General features: G+C 36.8%; 1 protein-coding gene across 18 annotated transcripts in view; it reads right to left on the bottom strand.

Moving 5' to 3' along the window:
* DCDC1 (doublecortin domain containing 1) overlaps positions 1 to 21,321 on the bottom strand; it is a 506,137-nt gene that overhangs the window by 85,506 nt on the left and 399,310 nt on the right. For 17 of the 18 annotated variants that reach the window (NR_170625.1, XM_024448478.2, XM_024448476.2 and 14 more), the window contains one exon: positions 3,337 to 3,460. The exons of the other annotated variant lie outside the window; for it this stretch is intronic. Coding sequence is in view for 15 of the 17 variants with exons in the window: in XM_024448478.2 (XP_024304246.1) it covers positions 3,337 to 3,460 (124 nt within the window). In the remaining 2 variants the exon portion in view is untranslated. The remainder of the gene's footprint in view (positions 1 to 3,336; positions 3,461 to 21,321) is intronic. 18 annotated transcript variants of the gene reach the window in all.

A 21,321-nucleotide genomic window follows, 5' to 3' on the forward strand; every position in this document is an offset into this window, starting at 1 on the left:
ACAAATGTCTAATATCCAGAATCTACAAAGAACTTAAACAAATTTACAAGAAAAAAGCAAACAACCCCACCAAAAAGTGAGCAAAGGATATAAATAGATACTTCTCAAAAGAAGACAATTGTGCAGCCAACAAACATATTAAATAAAGCTCATCATCACTGGTCATTAGAGAAATGCAAATCAAAATCACAATGAGATACCATCTCACGCCAGTTAGAATAGCGATCATTAAAAAGTCAGGAAACAACAGATGCTGGAGAGGATGTGGAGAAATAGGAATGCTTTTACACTGTTGGTGGGAGTGTAAATTAGTTAAACCATTGTGGAAGACAGTGTGGTGATTCCTCAAGGATCTAGAACCAGAAATGCCATATGACCCAGCAATCCCATTACTTGGTATATACCTAAAGAATTATAAATGATTCTACTATAAAGACACATGCACATGTATGCTTATTGTGGCACTATTCACAATAGCGAAGACTTGAAACCAACCCAAATGCCCATCAATGATAGACTGGATAAAGAAAATGTGGCACATATACACCATGGAATACCATGCAGCCATAAAAAGGGATGAGTTTGTGTCCTTTGCAGGGACATGGATGAAGCTGGAAACCATCATTCTCAGCATACTAACAGAAGAACAGAAAACCAAACACCGTATGTTCTCACTCATAAGTGGGAGTTGAACAATGAGAACAGATGGACACAGGGAGGGGAACATCACACAATGGGGCCTGTCGGGGGGTGGGGGCTAGGGGAGGAATAGCATTAGGAGAAATACCTAATATAGATGATGGGTTGATGGGTGCAGCAAACCACCACGGCAAGTGTATACCCATTTAACAACCCTGCACGTTGTGTACCTGTACCCCAGAACTTAAAGTATAATAATAAAAAATGGGCAAAAGAGCTGAATAGACATTTCTTAAAAGAAGTCATACAAATGGCAAACAGGTATATGCAAAAATGCTCAATATCACTAATCATCAGATAAATGAAAATCAAAACTGCAATGAGATATCATCTCACCCCAGTTAAAATGACTTTTATCCAAAAGAAAGACAACAATGAATGCTGGTGAGAATAAGAAGAAAGAGAAACCTTTTCTCCCACCAACCCTACACTGTTGGTGGGAATGTAAATTAGTACAGCCATTATGGAGAACAGTGTGGAGGTTCCTCCAAAAACTAAAAATAGAACTACCATATGTTCCAGTAATCCCACTACTGGATATACATCCAAAAGAAAGGAAACCAATACATCAAAGAAATGTCTGCATTCCCTTGTTTATTGCAGCACTATTCAGCACTATTCATAATGGCAAAATATGGAATCAACCTAAGTATTCATCAACAGATGAATGGACAAAGAAAATGTTGTATACACAGTAAAGTATTTCAGCCATAAAAAAGAATGCAATCCTGTCATTTGCAACAACACACATGGAACTGGAGGACATTTTGTTAAGTAAAATAAGCCAAGCACAAAAAGACAAATATTGTATGTTTTCACTCATACATAGGAGCAAAAAAATAAATAAAATTTAACTCATGGAGATAGAGACTAGAATGATGGTTGCCAGAGCCTGGGAAAGGTAGCGGGGAGGAGGGAATAAAGGGAGGTTGTTTAATAGGTACAAAACTACAGTTTAGATAGAATGAATAAGATCTAGTAGTCAGTAGCACGATAGAATGACTAAACAGCAATTTACTGTATATTTTTAAATAACCAAAATAGTAGAAATGGAATGTTCCTAAAACAAAGAAATGATAAATGCTTGAGGTGATGGATACTCTAATTACTCTGATTTTATCATTACACACTACATGATATGCCTGTATCAAAACATCACATGTATCTCATAAATTATGTATAAATACAACGTGTCCATAATAATTATAAATAAATTTTTAAAGAAAAAATAAGGGAGTGGGAGAATATAAGAGAGAAAATATTTGAAGAGTTGATAGGTGATAATTTTCCAGAAATTCTGCAAGATGCCAATCCACAGATTCAAGAACCCCAAAGAATCTTAGAATCTGAAGGATGATAAATAAAAAGAAATCTTCTCCCAGATATATTGTGCTGAAACTGTAGAATACCAGAGAGAAGATATTAAAACCAACCAGAGAAAAAAGATAGATACCTACATGGGAATACATTTAGAATGACAGCTGACCTCTCCATAACAACAATGGAAAGTAGAAGTCAGTGATGATGTATTTGCTTTGCTATGTGAAAATACCTTACATGAATAAGGGCAAAATAAAGACATTTTCAGATAAGTAAAAATGAGAAGAGCTTGCTATCAATAACTAAAAGAAGGTTGTATTCAGCTAAAAGAAAGTAGCCCAGGTGGAAGGACTGGAACATACGAAGAAATTATAACCAGAAAGATGAAAAATTGGGGATAACTCTAAATATATATTGACTACACACAATGTGATCTAATGGAAAATTATTAAAAGATAAAATTACACTATATTACTATAATAGCATATAAGTCACAAATCATATGATTGGATTATTTGACAGAAGAAAGTAACAAATTAATATACTTGTTATCTTTAAACTTTGATCATTTTAGGTATGCAAGCTAAAATGTTCAGAAATAAACAGAATAAAAATGTTATAATTTCCAAACTAGTTGATGGGGAAAATGTAATGAGAAAAAAAACATTTGGTCTGAAAGAACACAAGAAAGGGGTGAGGGGAGAAAACAGAAAAGCCAGGACAAATAGAAAGCACATAATAATCCAAATACAATTCACACCTGTAATTGCAACACATAGAAAAGACCAAATACTTTAGACTACAGACAAAAATTGCCAGATAAAATTTTTAAATGAACCATATGCTTGCTGATTACTGGGAGCCCCTCTAAAACAGAAGAACATATAAACACAGAAAGGAAAGGGTGGAAAGAAGATATACTAGGAAAATAATAACCAAAAGAAAGTTGGAATGTTTCTATTAGTATTGGATAAATGAGACTAGTGACTAGAGCTAGTGACAGTTTCTACATAATAATAGAAGTTTCAATCCACCAGGGAGATATAATATTTTGAACACGTGTGTGCCTAAGAATTAAATCTCAAAATATATGAAGCAATATTTGACAGATTACAAGAAAAAATAGATAAGTTCATCTCCATAATGGGAGACTTAAACACATCTAATTAATTGATAGAACAACAGAATTAGCAAGTTTGATATCTTGCACCTAACAGCTGCAATTCAAAAGCTATATGGAAGTTGTCAGGAATTTGACCACACAACTGGGCCTTAAAGTAAGTCTCAATGACCATCTCTTAAGCTAAGCAACACAACCTCATTAAGTTGGCCACTGGGAAGGACAGGCCACATGTAGGTAAGCTTGTTCCATAGAGGATTTTCAACTCTAGAATGTTTCCACTGGCCTGGCTTACTGGTTCCTTCATGTTTTATGGCCCACCTAAAACAAAAGATAAAAAACAAAAAGAAATTTAGCAAGGTTAAATATCACTTTAAAATATTCATTTTATTCATTGAGTACTTACTATACACTAGGCAAAAACTCAGTTTGAATTAAAAACCCAAATCTGAAAATTTGCTGTGTAAAGAGACACAAATGAGAGTAACTTACTAAAAAATAATAAATTTTAAAATCAGGAAAGCATTAAGGCAAAATTGGCAATGTTATTGCTAGACAACTATATTTGAGGCAAAAGGTAAAGTAGAATAACAGTCCTTTTATAATAACAATGACATAAATAACAATATTAACATAAAAATTAAGCAAAACTTTAGACAGTAAAAGAGAAGTTAGCTGACATACAATTATTGTGGGATACATTATTAAAAGACCAACAGATTGCAAAGTACCAGATAAATTTTTTAAAGTAATAGAAACAAAATATCTGAATGCTATAAGTAATAAATGCAAGTATTTATATACACTGTAACATGCTAATGGAGAACATATCTTTCTCAACAATTCATGGAATATTTGTAATATTTGCCACATATACACAAAGTAAACTTTAATATAGTTTTGAAATAAAAATGGAATAAGTCATATATTGTGACAAATGAGAAAATAAAATCAGATATAAATGCAATTTTAAAATTTCGACCACATATTATATTAATTATATAGTAATTATATTAATTACATTATATATAAGTATTATATTTATTATCATAAGCATTATATTAATTATATATTAATTATAAGTAAACACACATTTCTTCCCTAAAACTCTATCATACCAGATGGGGGGGAAAAATGTGATCAGTAGTTATTTAGTAAGCAATGAAATAACGTACTTGAAACCTTACAGGATACATGTAGAATTATATCCAAAGATAAATTTATAATATTAAGTGCTAATTTATTAAAAGCTAAGTAGAGAAGGGAAATTAATAAAGCATTCAACTCAAATTATTATTTTTTAAATATAAAATTGTCCTAAGGAAAAATATGTGAAGGGGAATTATAATAAAGGTTCAAATAGAAATCAATAACTTGGAAAGTAGACCCTCAGCAGAATGGTCCAAAGAAGTGTTTTTCAGTTTGGCAGTTCTTCAGAAAGTCAAATATTAGAATGCCATGTGACCCAGCAATCCCATACTTAGGTTTATAAACTCAAAAGATTTGAAAGTACGTATTCAAACAATACTTGTGCATGAAAGTTCACAGCAGCACTATTAATAGTAGGCAAAAAGTAGAAACAACCCCCAAAATATGTCTTTGAAATAAAAAATATAATAGCAAATCTCTTGCAAATAAATCTAGATGAATAAGAATGTAAGACAAACCAAACAGAAAAATTGAGCTAAATAGTTAACATTAACAAAATGAAAAGTAAGAGTATATTATGCATGTATATATTAATAAATACAACAATTCTTTTTTTTTTTTTTTTTTTTTTTTGAGACAGAGTCTCGCTCTGTCGCCCAGGCTGGAATGCAGTGGCTCGATCGATCTCGGCTCACTGCAAACTCCGCCTCCCGGGTTCACGCCATTCTCCTGCCTCAGCCTCCGGAGTAGCTGTGACTACAGGCGCCTGCCACCACGCCCGGCTATTTTTTTGTATTTTTAGTAGAGACGGGGTTTCACCGTGTTATCCAGGATGGTCTCGATCTCCTGACCTCGTGATCTGCCGGCCTCGGCCTCCCAAAGTGCTGGGATTACAGGTGTGAGCCACCACGCCCAGCCTAAATACAACAATTCTAATGAATAAATTAATTTCTGGAAAAAACCTCACAGATTTGAAATAGAAAATACTAAAAACGAGCTCCTGATCATATATCTTTGCAGAACATGGGACAGATCTTTTCATGTGATATAAAATACTTTAAACCATAAAGATACAGAAAACTAGTTAATTCATCCCATGAAGGGGAGATAAGCTTCATAATAAAGTTAGTCAGTGGTAATTTAACAAGTGATACAGCAATTGTATTTATAATTAAAGATGTAAAATTCCTAAATCAGTATTAGCCAATAAAATGTAACATTGTGGCAAGAGCATAATTATAATAGCTAAGAAATACTGGTCCTAGAAATGAAACGATGGACATTTACTAATGCAATACATCACTGATTAATGAATGAGAGTGCAGGAGCAGTGCATCACCCATAATTTTCCAGTGCACATGATGGTCATCTGAGCCTGCAAATTTTCTGAGATCCCTTAGCCCCATCAGATCCATCCATAGTACTTGGCCTTGTATTTCTCTTCTTTGCTCTGTGAAATTACAAATTCATTATCTGAGCAATGCTTTTTATATGTCTTGTTTCGTGGAGTGTTGGCTACATACAAGACAACAAATACCCAGCAACCCAAATTGAAGTCTAAAGAGAAATGGAAAGTTCATTAATTCAGACAACATATTTGAGTTATTGGAATATTAGCGAACAACTTCAGAAGGCGGTAAGCTCCTACAACTGCAGGTGAAAGTAACAGGAACACATATATTTAAATCACACCAATTTTATTTTATTTTTTGGAATACGTGGTCTACCTCCAAGAACCCGCTTCTTTTGAAAACCTTTCTTGTAGTTTTCTCATTCACACGTCAATATCTTCTGGGCCTGAAGATATAAAAGCTTGCTTTGTTGTTTCTCATAGCCATATCTAGTTTATTGTTACTCCATCCACTTCCAAAGATCCCCAGTCGCTTTGAAGCACATATCAATAGACCATAACACCTACTTCACTTCCTAGTTGCATTTATATCAGTTCTCCTATATCCTCTCTTCTCATTTATTGAAGAGTTTACTATCCTGGCTTACTTTTGTTCTCTCTACCTCTCTGCTCCTGTAATTATCCAACATCTTTTCATTATCTGAGTAGACAATCCACCCTGGCCTCTCAGGGCCTCCCAAGACTTTAACCCCTTTTCAAATATCAGCCTACCCTTCCCATGAACACAACCTCAAACTGGTCAATACAAATAACTACACCACTTTCAAAATCCTGTTTTCAACACCATCACCCTTTCACCACCACCTCCTTTTTCTCTAGTTCATGTATTTAAGTATCCGTATTCCAATAATTCCTCAACTCTTCCAGATTATCCAAGCCACTGCATTGATTACCTATTTATACCCCGTAACCTCCCTGCCAGGTAGGCTCTTCCCTTTGTACTCAGTTAAGATTCATGGTCCAGCGTCATAGCCACTGTCTTGTGCTTGCCCTCAACCCATTGCCCCTTCTCCTTCTCTGTATTAACTTAAAAAATAAATAAATAAACCAACTCTGGTTAAGTCCAACTCAAAGCCTATACTTGAAGAGTTGATCAGTGGTTGGAGAAAAACACAAACAACCATGAATGAAATTGCTACAAATGATCAGATCACAATGTGGTTTGGGGAGCAGTACGGATATACTAGGGAGTGTTTAAGAATTTGAGGACTTTTTTGGTTGTCACAATGATTAGATGACACTACTGTCATCTAACTGGCAGGAGACCAAGAATACCAAATATCCTTCAAAATATGGGAAAGTTTGTCCTGCATCTCACAGACTTTCAAATTTCCCTCTGAGCATTCATGTTGGGGAAAATTGGAGTCTAAAGCCAAAGTATATTTTACAAAATGATACCAGTTTTTTTTATTGAGATGGGGTGTAGCTATGTTGCCCATGCTGGTCTCAAAGTCTTGGCCTCAGGTAATTCTCCCACCTTGGCCTCCCAAAGTGCAAGGATTATAGGCATGAGCCACCATGCCCAGCCCAAAGTACTTTTTCATACACACTGAATTTTATAGAAATTCAGCTCCCTCCAATATCTCAAGTAGGGAAACTCTGATTTTTTTTATGTTGTTCACTATTTTGGAAAAATCACATCATTGATAGCAATACCATTTATGGTATTTGAGTCACCAACACAACATAGTTGTATCCTTTGGTATTTATAGTTCACATATCCAGTTCGTTCTATGCATAGGAGCAAGTATCTGCAAACTTAATGTTGTCCAGAATAGCTGTGCTGAGAATCTATATTATAATATATATTACTTTTACTTTAAAGTTATTTTTCTTTTATTTCCATAATTATTACTGGTCAACCATTTCTTTAAAATTACATTAGTGGGTAGGTTATCTTAACTATAAATTTTATTTTAGGATAATAAAGAAGTCATTAAAATATATTTTTTATAAAGAGAGAGCATGAGATCGGGTAGTGTTGACAACTACTCTTTTAAATTTATAACCACAAACCTCAAGTGGACCCTTAGCACTGCTGGGCCATCTCACTGCATTCCTCCATCCCATTGACTCCAACCCCTGAGGGGCACATGACTTCTTTCTCATCAAACCTCTCACTTCCCACTGCCCATTTCTCAATGTCTGCTGGAGCCCTTCTTATTTCACTGAGAAAATAGAAGTGGTCAGAAGACTTTCCTCATCCTCCCACCAGCAAATCTACCCAGCTCCCTACCTCTGTACCCATACACTCTGCCTGCCCTCCTGCCCTCCACTATAGCGGAGCTGTCTATTCTCTGATTGAAGGCCAATACTTGTGCTTGTGCCTCGGACCCTTATCCTCCCTCATCTAGGACTTTGCTCCTGCTTTCTGCTGTTAATTTTCCTTCCCTTCTGCATCATTCCATATGCATAATGTCTGACAATCTGACATGGAAAAAAGAACCCTCTCTACACCCACATCCATGACTAGTTATTGCCTTATTTCTGTGTGTCCCTTTGCAGCAAAGACCTTAAAAGGCTCATCTCCTTTTTCATTCTCTTCCCTTTCTCTCCTAAACCATTCCTATTAGATTTTCATCTCTGAAACTCCAATGAAACTGCCTCATCAGGGTTTTTACATTACCGAAGTCAAAGGTCTTTTCTTAAAACATACCTGAACTAACAGAAACATCTGACAAAGGGTATTTCCTCCTTCTGACCTGGCAGACCCAATTGTACTAAAGTTATCTGAGGTGATAAAGGATTCTGTGTTAAGTCTCTGGTAAGCCCAGTAAGAGAGGTGCAGTGTTGGTCCTAAGATTGTTGAGCAAGATCATCCTCTTTGCAACAGAAAACAACTGTGCTTTTGAAAAACAATCCCTGGTTTATTGAAACACTGTTTTTGAAACTAAGAACTGGGACATGCATGGTGAAGTGACTATGAAAACTGAGCCACCCATCATGAGCTGGGTGTGGTAATATCCTTCATGACATGTGGTAAGACAGATGCAACGACATCCTATATTGTACAATGGAAGTGAAATATTTAGGCTCAGGCTCAAGCAAATCCAGGTTTTTGCACTGATTCCTCTCCCTTAACTTACACCTATGGCCTGAAGACAGTTTCTCTATGACTATTTGACTTAATGGCAGAAGAACTCAAGCCTGGTTCACAAAGAGGTCAGTGTGATGTGTTAGTGCTGGTCAGAGTGCACTGCTGTTACATTTATAGTCCCACTTGGATGTGTCCCTGAAGGACAGTGGTGAGAAATTGTCCCATTAGGTTGAGCTGTGAGTGGAATACTTGATCATCCACTTTGTAGAAAGTATAGGTAACCAGAGCTGTGGATATACATTGACACATTATTAATGATTTCACCTGCTGATCAGAAGCCTCAAGAAGACAAAACTGGAAGATCAGGGAAATGGAATTTTGAGGAAAAAGTATGTGGATGGATCTATGGGGAGGGTATAAAGCTCGTGAATCTTTATTTGTCATGTAAATGCCTACCAGAGAGCATCTATCACAGAAGAGGTTCTCAACAACCAAGTGGACAGGATGCCCAAAGTGCCCCATCAGAATGTTTATATATTGACCTGATATCACACACAACATTGTCTCAGATTAAGAGACCCATTTTATGGCAAAGGATGTGCAATAGTGAACCACAAGATTCACCTGTCTTACATTGTACATTATCTCCCAGAAGCAGTTGGCATCAGAGAATGAAAGAATGGCCCTGAAGTCTGAACTAAGTCTCCAGCTTGGGGTAACACTGGTAAGGTTGGGGTGTTATCCTAAGGATCAGTATATGCAATAATCCCAGCATTACATGGTGGTGTGTCCTTAACAGCTAGAATACATGGGTTCAGAAACCAATGGTAGAGGGAGGACTGGCCCTTCTTGCCATCACTTTCAAAAAGCTACTTCAGAATCTGTATTCCTATTTCTAAAACCTTAGGCTTTGCTGGGTACTGATTTTCACTGTGGTAACACTTCTGCCAGTGGATGCAATAAGTCTTCCACTGACCTGGGGAGTGATTGGAGAATTGATCTTGATTGCCATGAGGACTGAAATTTGCCCCTACACAGTGGAGGCAAAGGTCTGAAACCCAGGGGACCTTGGGGACATTTGGTAGTGCTTCTATGCCCAGTGAATAGAGGAAAGGGGCAATTGCATCAGTCATAGTCTAGTATGGGCAAATACATTAAGGGCTGAGACTTCTCAAGGATAAAGTCCTGGGTAAAGTAACTCACACTAGTCAAAGCACTGGCCAAGAATAAGAGAAATCTAAAATTGATGGAAGAGGAGGAAGTTGATGCCTTCCAATCAGAGTCTTAGGACCAACTGCAGCAGTGAAGGTTGAGGCTTGATTTGCAAACCCTTTTTGAGTCATTTTAGGAGACTGCAACGGATGACCACATTGAAGTACTTAACTATAACCCCAACCCCTTGAGGCAGAATTGAGGGCATCTTATTCTCCTATAAGATAGGGATATTGTTAGAGGTGCAAGTGGATCTGAATGGCCTAAGAGGTAGACTGTACTGGGCCCGGTTTACGTGCCTCTCCAAATTCGCTCAGCCCCATTCTCCTCCCTGTTCACATGTTCAGTGAAGATCTTAGGCGACCACTGTAGTCACTTCGTCTTCTACCAGCACTGATTCTCTTATATACTCCCAGAGAGAGGGCCAGGCTTTGGCACAGCTTCCTTCATACCCACTGAACTATGGAATGCTCATGGGTATGGAGTGTTCCTTCATACCCACTGAACTACTGGAGTGCTCCACTTCTTGGAGCTGACCAGTCATTCCACCACTTCCTGTCTCAGATAAAATATTGTCCCACAGGGCATGGGCTCTGGCTTCCCCAGTGACTGCCTAAAAGGTCCTCGGAGGATCAGTTATATAATCCAGAAGTGAGGGGGACTCAATGCCTCTTGGGGCAAACTTTGACTAATTAGAACCTAGGGACAAGAGGAATCAATAAATAAATCCCTTTCCTTTCCTTCCCAAGATATGTGGGTCCTACAAACCTGGATGAAACGTGTCCCAAGTGAGTTTACTTTTGAAGCTATGGCCAAATCCATCACACTCCACCTGGTACTTTATTTCCCTCCTTCCCTTCCCTGCTTTCATTTTTCTTTCACTTTTGCTGACCTGGGATTGCCCTTCCTAATAAACCTTAGCATATAAACTTCTTCAGGCTACTGTTTACTAGGAAACTCGAATTGAAGCACCCAAAAGACACGGGTGAGGAGCAATCTAAATCTCTATCTGATCATACTCTCAGGTAGTATGCCATAAAAGAGTCTAAATTCAATCTAAATTATCTCTCAACCAAGAAGTTGGGTGTTGGGGATGGAATTTAATCTTCAAGTATAAATATATAATAGAACAACTATATGTATATATCTTATATAAGCATACTTGTATGGATATAAAATCACATCTTAGTTTACTTCTACAGTTTTTCATTATCTGGTTGCAGTGCCTATATAACTTCAGCCCATCAGGGTGTCTTTAAAATGAGCCGGTCATGTTCAACTTACACTGTTAATAAACATTAACATAGAGCAAAGGCTATTAGACTGCAGAGTTCTGACACAGATTGACCTTTCATGTAAAAGCAATAGAACTCTTAATATTCTGCTTTATAAATGAAAAGCTGACAGACCCTTAACTGTAATGGCACTAGCTGGCCCAGCTATAATGACAACACATGTGCACAACACAAATTAGAACTTTACAGCATCAGTAAGTTCTCTGGAATCCTAATTCTTAAAAGCTAGCACTAGGTGGAGACAGTGATTCATGCAATGCTTGCAGGCAGCCTTTTCGTAGTCCCCTGGAGAACTTGCTTCTATTTAATATTTCCATGTTTTTCTTCAGTGTGGACAGGGGTGTTCTTGAACAATTGGTATTTCTGATAGAAACGTTATATAAAACAAAACATCTCAGGCTTTGGAAGGACCTACTTGAAAACACTCATGTATACACACAGCCCACAAGGCAGCCAAATAAGCTTCAAAGGCAATTTTATTTATTTAATATAATGTCTTTATTAGCTTTGCCTTCCCATTAAAGGCAAAATTCTATTTATGATACTTCATGAGTATCTACTTCCATGGATAGGAGTATGAACAAAGTTGCAATTTCCTCCCAGATTTATTTGAACTTAAAAGAAATACTAGGGTCTCTGTTCAATATTTGATTGACAGTTATCTCCTCTCTCAAAAACAAAATCCAGAATTAAACATATCAATTTCAGAATGATTAATGGAGCCACAGATCCACCACAATGCTTTATTCAATTAATCTTTTAAAGTAATGGAAAACAAAAATACTTTAGATAATTTTTTGGAGTCCAGTGCCTTTAATGGAACTACAACTATGAAAATTTGTGCAAGTCTGTATACATAGTAACAAAAAGATACTATTTAGCACTCTTGGAAATCAACAGTAAAACAAAAACAAATCTAAATGTGCCCTAGTTGAAAAGAAATAGTCTTTTTCATATTGTATCAGGACAAAATTGTATTGTTTCCAATAAGGTAATGAACATAGTAATAAAATTAGACAATATATCATTTGGATCTGGTACAGTATATAACAGATAAATAACAGATATTCCAGCAAATTCCAGCTCAAATAAGCAGTGTCTAACAAACATGAGGGTTAAAATGATCAGATTCACATCCCACGACTGTTAAAGAAACGCTTTAACGTTTTGTTTTACGCAAGGTGCTATTTATTTTGCTGACCACTTTTCAGTTTTTAGGATTACCTAAGCAACAAGATAATAGCACTTAGAATGTATTTATAATGAATTTAAAATGGTATGTTTCCGTAGAAACAGTGAAGAGGATATTATTCATACGGGTACAATAATATATTTTGTGTATTAATTTTGATAGGATTCAGTTTATAAGACTGAATTTAAGTACTCCATCTCTGAAAAAAAGGAAAGGATAAGAAAAATAAATATATAGATTGTAAAAAGTAATAGTAATAATGACTTACTTTGATGGAATTTGAAAATAGCCCATCAAAATTCCATGGATTTGAACTGTTTTGAAGTTTTCTAGGGTTCTAGTACTCTGGACAGGGAACAAATCACTCCAAATTTGGAACTACATGCACAAGCTGGTCTTAAACACTGCATAAGGGTTAAAAGGTTAGATGCACCGCTGAAACCTGAATACATCAAATATTACTCTCTAGTTTTTAACCAGTATCACTGTATGAAATATTTTAGCCCATTTTTATTTTGCAACTGACAATGAACATTAAAGATAAATTAATATTTTATGTAAACAATTATTTTAAGATTTAAATTTTAAGTAACTTCATCCTAATAGAAACAAGACACTAAAGACTGCAGCATTATTAATTTGCAAGCCAAAATTTACAAAGATCAAGTAATTTTTGTAAATTAAACATTATTCTACTTTATTTCTGGAATATTTTGTACAAACTAATAAATACAGTTGAAATTTGTTCATCTGCCTTATTGTATATTCATGCCCCTTTGCCCTATCTCTTTACATTATTTTGATAACTAGCAAATTATTTAAAACAGGAACTGGACTTTAATGGCAATTAAGGGCTAAGAAGGAGAATGCTATGCTATGATAATAATCCATCCTGTATAGCTGGGAGTTTCTAAGAATAAGAAATCATTTCAACAATAACACTGAAAAGAATATTTATTTCATCATAATTTCCATAATGTTATATTATATCCCTCTCAACTGATTTTCTTTAAGCACCTTAACACAATCTAAATTTATTTTTCAAAGATTAATTATTAAATATGGTGGAAACATATGGTACATTAATAATAATTGCCAGTAGTACATATATATTTAGTCTAGAAAAATAAATGGATATACAAATGGATACAAAGCCAATCCTGACATCTCTTGGAAGTTCGCTTTTAACATAAGTCTTTTACCTGCTATTTTGTTTTGTTTTTCTAGTTGGTTGAGCTTCCTGGTTATTTAGATTCTGGATACATAGGAGTAATTTATATTCAGCACTAAAAACCTATCATTATCTCCCATAGTCAGAGTTTCATACTTGCTGTAAAAGCAAAGCTCTCTTTGCAACTCAGTAGTCTCTACAAAGTGCAAGATTTGTAAACAAAAAACCATCCCTTCTTCAACAATACCTGCTTATGATGGAACCACACTTGATCCTGGAGTTCTTGAATCTGTTGCATTCATCACCTATCTGGGCTTGATAGGTAGGTTAGCTTTGGTATCTCAGATATTTGGTGGATAAACTCCCTAAAGTTTCCATATTTATTTAAATGAAAGCAAGATAAATGAATGCTCTCTTGAGCACTTGCTGTCTCTCCCCAGCACCACGCTAGGCATTACAAGGAATACAAAAGAAGTTCGTGCCATTTCAAGAAACCAAGGAAGAATAATCTTTTGATATTATATAACTCCCAAACATATGATTCTTCGAGTAAAGACAGAGTTCGAGCTAGAAGAGAGAGCAATTCATATCTGCAACTGGTCATTTCCTGGCCTCAGTTATGTCAACTAATTTTGCTTAAAGTGCTTAAAGTCCATATCAGACAGAAACAGTTAATTCCCCAAATCAATTTTCTCTTCCTTCAGTAGTAATAGACTTTTAGCTGGGTACACGGCTACCCATCTATTACAAGATTTCTTTGCATTTAGGTGTAGCCATGTATCAAAGTTCTGGCCAGATAGGTTGTGAGTGGATATGATGGGCACCACTCACAGACCTTACCCTTAAAGCAACTGGACATGTACTCCACTAGTCCCTCTTCTCCATCCCACTGACTGAGAGATGATAAGAGCTGGACTAACTGCTTTAGAGCCATAGGTGGGAGCCACATGATAAGAATGGCACAGCCACCTAACCAGCTCTGTAGCACTACCTATCTATAAACTATCATGCAAACAGAAATGAGCTTCGGGGTAAGCCTAAATGTTTTGGAGTCTCTTTGCCACAGCAGCTTAGCTTAACACACTTTCTAGTATAATCTTGGGTTTTTTCATTGGCCCCAGTCTTTTACATTTTCCTGTGCACTTCCTCTGAACATTTTACTGCTTTTTCTGCTATCTACTTCTGGGAAATTTTCATGTGTTTCTGCCACCATTAAGTCATATCCTTCCTAATTCTCATTGCTGTTTTCGTAAATTCTTGTCCTGTTTTTCCTTCTGATTTTCATCCACTTCTCCAAGTTCTTCAAGGAACACTCCTATAGGCAGGAAGCGTTAGCTCTTCAGAAATATTGGCACTAAAAATATGTTTTTTTAAAAAATCTCCAGGGCCACTCCTAGGGTGTGCAGTGCCCTGCAAAGATAGTTTTTGTAGGGTACTTGCCTATGTAAACAACACAATTTTAGAATTCATTCCAAAACTTACAGGTCTGTGTGAGGTATAGTGATTAATGGATAGAGAAGAGATGCTTACACATTTGTTTATTGCTCAAGTGGTGCACGTGAAGATTCTTCATAAGTTCTAGACATCATCTCAGGTTCAGGAACCACCTCTTTGTGTTCTTTATCATCGAATGTGCAGTTCTTGACTAATTTAATATCCTTCCCCTCAAGAAGTTCCACTGTCATGGCTCTTTGGAATTTATTTGTATTGACATGGCATAGATCTTTTTGCCTCTGCAGCTCCTTAACACCATGATGCAATGCTGTTAACATAATTACTCATGACACCGCAGCATCCGTCACACCATCCATGAATACCAGCTTACAAAGACTCCCTCAGAGGTCATTGCTGGGGTTCACTGATGATAACCAAGTACAAGTGTTACCCAGAGTATGTAGGAAAATGTGAATGATGATTTGTTTTCTAATCATGTTAAGATTATTTTTTGGAATTTTATAGCATAATCATAGACCAATATAAGTCCAATTATATATATATTTGAACTTTTTCTGCTACAATCATTGCATTCAAGAATGTGGTTTCTTCCAATGTTAACCACATCTTCACCCTTAACACAAGTGGGGAGGATGGAAGAGGGGCCAATAGGCAGAATGAAATGATGAGTCTCATTTGCACGAAGAATGTTCATCCTTTCTTCTGCATGGCTTAAGATCAACAGGACAGCATGTCATGTCGATCAGAGGTATGAGAGGACATAGATCCAAATGGCTTGTTGAGGCTTCAGAGCAGTAATCTCTAAAGCCCTCAGAAAAGATAGGCATGGTAACTTCCAGAGGACTGCCAAACAGACATGTGGCTTGGAGCCTGAAGACAGGGTGAGTGAGTCCCTTGGACACCAGTGGAGTGCAAAGGATAAAGCAAACCTGCTGCCATTCTTCACGAAAGATTGCCATAGACAAGAGGTGGTGCCATGGTCAGAACACATACAGGCGAAAGCCAACACATAGGTGTACACACATAACTTAAACTCAAGAATAGGCAGTGAATCATCCAAAGTCCAGAGCCTTGAACTTGTTCTGTATCTGACATGAGTGAGAGTCACCCAAAAATCACCATGTCAGTACCATTCTGGAGGCCCAGTCTCCATATCATACCACAAAAGAAATATTGTGCTGGCCAGCAAGAATGATCCACTCATCAGGTTACCCTCTGAACCTATAGCTTCTCAGGGTATCTGTCCAATCCCACAATGAGTAGAGGATCAGAGAGGGCCTTGAAGGGAAATAATGGGGATGGGACCCACACCATCCCAGTCTGGACTTAAAGCATTCTTGTCACCAGAGATATCTTAGAAAATTTCTTTTTTTTTTTTTGTTCATAGATTGGAAGACCTAATATTGTTTTTTGTTTGTTTGTTTTGTTTTTTTAATTTTTTTTTATTATACTCTAAGTTTTAGTGTACATGTGCACATTGTGCAGGTTAGTTACATATGTATACATGTGCCATGCTGGTGCGCTGCAGCCACTAACGTGTCATCTAGCATTAGGTATATCTCCCAATGCTATCCCTTCCCCCTCCCCCGACCCCACCACAGTCCCCAGAGTGTGATATTCCCCTTCCTGTGTCCAAGTGATCTCACTGTTCAATTCCCACCTATGAGTGAGAATATGCGGTGTTTGGTTTTTTGTTCTTGCGATAGTTTACTGAGAATGATGGTTTCCAATTTCATCCATGTCCCTACAAAGGACATGAACTCATCATTTTTTATGGCTGCATAGTATTCCATGGTGTATATGTGCCACATTTTCTTAATCCAGTCTATCATTGTTGGACATTTGGGTTGGTTCCAAGTCTTTGCTATTGTGAATAGTGCCGCAATAAACATACGTGTGCATGTGTCTTTATAGCAGCATGATTTATAGTCCTTTGGGTATATACCCAGTAATGGGATGGCTGGGTCAAATGGTATTTCTAGTTCTAGATCCCTGAGGAATCGCCACACTGACTTCCACAATGGTGGAACTAGTTTACAGTCCCACCAACAGTGTAAAAGTGTTCCTATTTCTCCACATCCTCTCCAGCACCTGTTGTTTCCTGACTTTTTAATGATTGCCATTCTAACTGGTGTGAAATGATATCTCATAGTGGTTTTGATTTGCATTTCTCTGATGGCCAGTGATGATGAGCATTTCTTCATGTGTTTTTTGGCTGCATAAATGTCTTCTTTTGAGAAGTGTCTGTTCATGTCCTTCGCCCACTTTTTGATGGGGTTGTTTGTTTTTTTCTTGTAAATTTGTTTGAGTTCATTGTAGATTCTGGATATTAGCCCTTTGTCAGATGAGTAGGTTGCGAAAATTTTCTCCCATGTTGTAGGTTGCCTGTTCACTCTGATGGTAGTTTCTTTTGCTGTGCAGAAGCTCTTTAGTTTAATTAGATCCCATTTGTCAATTTTGGCTTTTGTTGCCATTGCTTTTGGTGTTTTGGACATGAAGTCCTTGCCCACGCCTATGTCCTGAATGGTAATGCCTAGGTTTTCTTCTAGGGTTTTTATGGTTTTAGGTCTAACGTTTAAGTCTTTAATCCATCTTGAATTGATTTTTGTATAAGGTGTAAGGAAGGGATCCAGTTTCAGCTTTCTACATATGGCTAGCCAGTTTTCCCAGCACCATTTATTAAATAGGGAATCCTTTCCCCATTGCTTGTTTTTCTCAGGTTTGTCAAAGATCAGATAGTTGTAGATATGTGGCATTATTTCTGAGGGCTCTGTTCTGTTCCATTGATCTATATCTCTGTTTTGGTACCAGTACCATGCTGTTTTGGTTACTGTAGCCTTGTAGTATAGTTTGAAGTCAGGTAGTGTGATGCCTCCAGCTTTGTTCTTTTGGCTTAGGATTGACTTGGCGATGCGGGCTCTTTTTTGGTTCCATATGAACTTTAAAGTAGTTTTTTCCAATTCTGTGAAGAAAGTCATTGGTAGCTTGATGGGGATGGCATTGAATCTGTAAATTACCTTGGGCAGTATGGCCATTTTCACGATATTGATTCTTCCTACCCATGAGCATGGAATGTTCTTCCATTTGTTTGTGTCCTCTTTTATTTCCTTCAGCAGTGGTTTGTAGTTCTCCTTGAAGAGGTCCTTCACATCCCTTGTAAGTTGGATTCCTAGGTATTTTATTCTCTTTGAAGCAATTGTGAATGGGAGTTCACTCATGATTGTTTATCTAGAAAACCCCATCGTCTCAGCCCAAAATCTCCTTAAGCTGATAAGCAACTTCAGCAAAGTCTCAGGATACAAAATCAATGTACAAAAATCACAAGCATTCTTATACACCAACAACAGACAAACAGAGAGATATCTTAGAAAATTTCAAGGCAGACACTTCAAGGTAAAGGCTCCTGGGGCCTGGGATCTGGCCAGGGGACCCACTTGCCTAGTCTAAGGTGGTTCTGTGTGTTTACCCAGGAAATTGTGGGACAGTCTTCAATCATCAGAACAGGTCAAAGAGATTAGAACTTATAAGGAAGTGAGTGATAGCTTTTCAAAAGTATCTCCAATTCAGAAATATTTCCCCAAACAGCTCTTAAAGTCTATAGATAGTCTATTATGAGTCACATTTCAGTTCTGTGTCAATCAAAGTTCTTAGGAAACAGATGAGAAATAAGAACAAGAAACTGAAAAACAAAGAAAAACACCCCAGAGGTCCCACATGAAAAGGACAAGAGCAGTTAGGTAGAGAAAAAAAATGATGAGGTATGAGAGCTCTGAGGTATGGGAAAAGAATGAATATTAGTAGGAAGTCCACAAATGTAATGAAATAACAAGGATGCTTTGTCTAAAGTCTGCCTTGGGAAACACCATCCAACACATTTTCACCACCTACATTTATGTTGCTGGGTGCCAGGGATCCCAGGAACTGAGACAGTTTCTATCCTTGAGGAGTCCCAGTTTGGTGAGCAGGATGGGCCAATGGAATAGGTACCAGTGACACAGGTGATCAGGGTAATCATGGGTTTTGTAGAAAGTACGGCAGAGAACTGACCATAGCACCACTGATTCTTCCTGAGGGGTTTGAAGAGTCAACAGAGAGGACATGGGAATTTGGTTCCCTAGGATTCAGAACAGTGTCTAGCCCATAGGACACATTCTGCTATTTACTCAATGAATGAATAAGTTAACCTGGACTCCAGTAGTCCCCTTTATCACAGTTTTGCTTTCTTCAGTTTCAGAAACAAGCGATCAACCACAGTCTGAAAATACTAAAGGGAAAACTCTTGTTGAAAGAGAGAGAAAAAGAGAGGAAGAGACCACATTCACATAACCGTTATTACAGCATATTGTTATAATTGTTCTATTTTATTACTAGTTATTGCTATTGCATTACTGTGTATAATTTATAAATTAAACTTTATCACTTATGTTTATATAAGAAAAAACAAAGTGTGTATATATATATATGGTTTGATATTATCTGTGGTTATATATACATCAAATATATATATCAAATTATATATATCAAATTATATATATATCAAATTATATATATATATATATATATATATGGTTTGATATTTTCTGTGGTTTCAGGCATCCACTAGGGGTCTTGAAATGTATAGGGAGGGATTCTGCACATTTAAAATCTAGCTGGTGAATTCTAACTTCTCAATTTGCCATTTATTGATACTCGAAATTATTGAATTCTTAAATCTTTAAAGTGAGATAACATAAATAAACACAAATTCCTTTACTTCTAAGTAAGAGATCATTTGCATGATATAATTTGCAAGATATCACAAAATTCCCCTACTCAAAATTATTTCTCAAAATTAAGTACTGAAATTCCATCATTGCCAATAAATTTATTTATGCTTAAATAATGATTCTTTTTTGGCCAAAGCCACTGCAAGATTTACAAAACAAAGAGTTGATATGTTACAGTCTGTGGTAGAATAATGGTCCCTCTAAAGATGCTCACACCCTAATTCCTAAAACATGAATATTACTTTAGAGGCAAAATTAAACTTTGTGGGTATGATTAAGTTCAGGATTTTGAAATAGGTAGATTTCCTGGATTATCTGTGTTTAGGCCCTAAACCTAATCATAAGTGTCCTTAGAAGAGAGAGGCAGAAGGAATTTTGACACTACAAAAGAGGAGAAGGCAATATGATCACAAAAGCAAAGATTAAAGTGATGAGGCCTCAAACCAAGGGATGCTGGCAGCCACCAAAAGCTGAGAGGCAAGGAATGTATTGTTCCCTATAACCTCCAGAGGTAGTATGGCCCCACTGACACTTGATTTTGGCTCAATGATACTGATTTTTAAATTTCTGGCATCTAGAATTATGAAGATAAATTTCTATTGTTTTAAGTCACCAAGTTTGAGGCAGTTTGTTACACCAGCCAAAGGAAACTAATATATAATTTCAAAATAAGTTATAAATTCCAACAGTAATTGCTTCTTTGCTTTGAGGTAAGTTTTGAGTGTAGAAATAGAGAAAATTTTATAATTCATATTTGCATATTCCTCTTTAGCTAGACTTTTTTACTACAGATTTTTTGGAGTTCATTTTCATTCATTTCCTTTTATTTAAAACAAGTTGTAATATTATAATCAAACTACATTTTAAATTTTTATGTCCTAATTTTCTTTAAAACTGGTAATACTTGCATTATGTTTTTCATATTCATCATTTTTAGTAACTGCATAAAAGTTCATAGAAGAGGGACTTGACTAGAGGTATCTGGTATTTGCCTCCTTCACAAAGAAGAACCAAAATAGTGGGCAGATTATCACACTTCTAATAGATCATCTAAGACAGAACACTGGAATTCAACAGAGAAGTAACAGAAAACACCAAAAGCAAGGAAGGAGGGAAATGAGGCAGCCTATTTAGTTAGGATAGAATGGGAATCTGGAGAGGATCCCCAGTGTGGGGAAAGGGTAAGTAAGATATCCCTAGCAATCTACATTTCCACAATAGACTCCTGTAGTTGGAGCCATGGAAAAGTGCCTCAACCCTCGCAGGTCCTGAAACTAACATAGTGAGATGCCTGGAGGCCACACAACAGCATTGCTTCAGAGAGAGAGAGCTCATGCTGGTTCCCCAAGTCCTAAGCAGCTACAGCATGGCACCATTTTGAGGGCCCAGTCCCCACAAGACTACATCCTGCCCTGGGGTCCAACAGCCCCTACATCTACAAATCCATGGAGCTACATTGACATCTCCCACTTGCAGCTACCACTGTGGCTTGCT

The sequence above is a fragment of the Homo sapiens genome, chromosome 11 (assembly GCF_000001405.40).
Source record: "Homo sapiens chromosome 11, GRCh38.p14 Primary Assembly".
Lineage (NCBI taxonomy): Eukaryota > Metazoa > Chordata > Mammalia > Primates > Hominidae > Homo > Homo sapiens.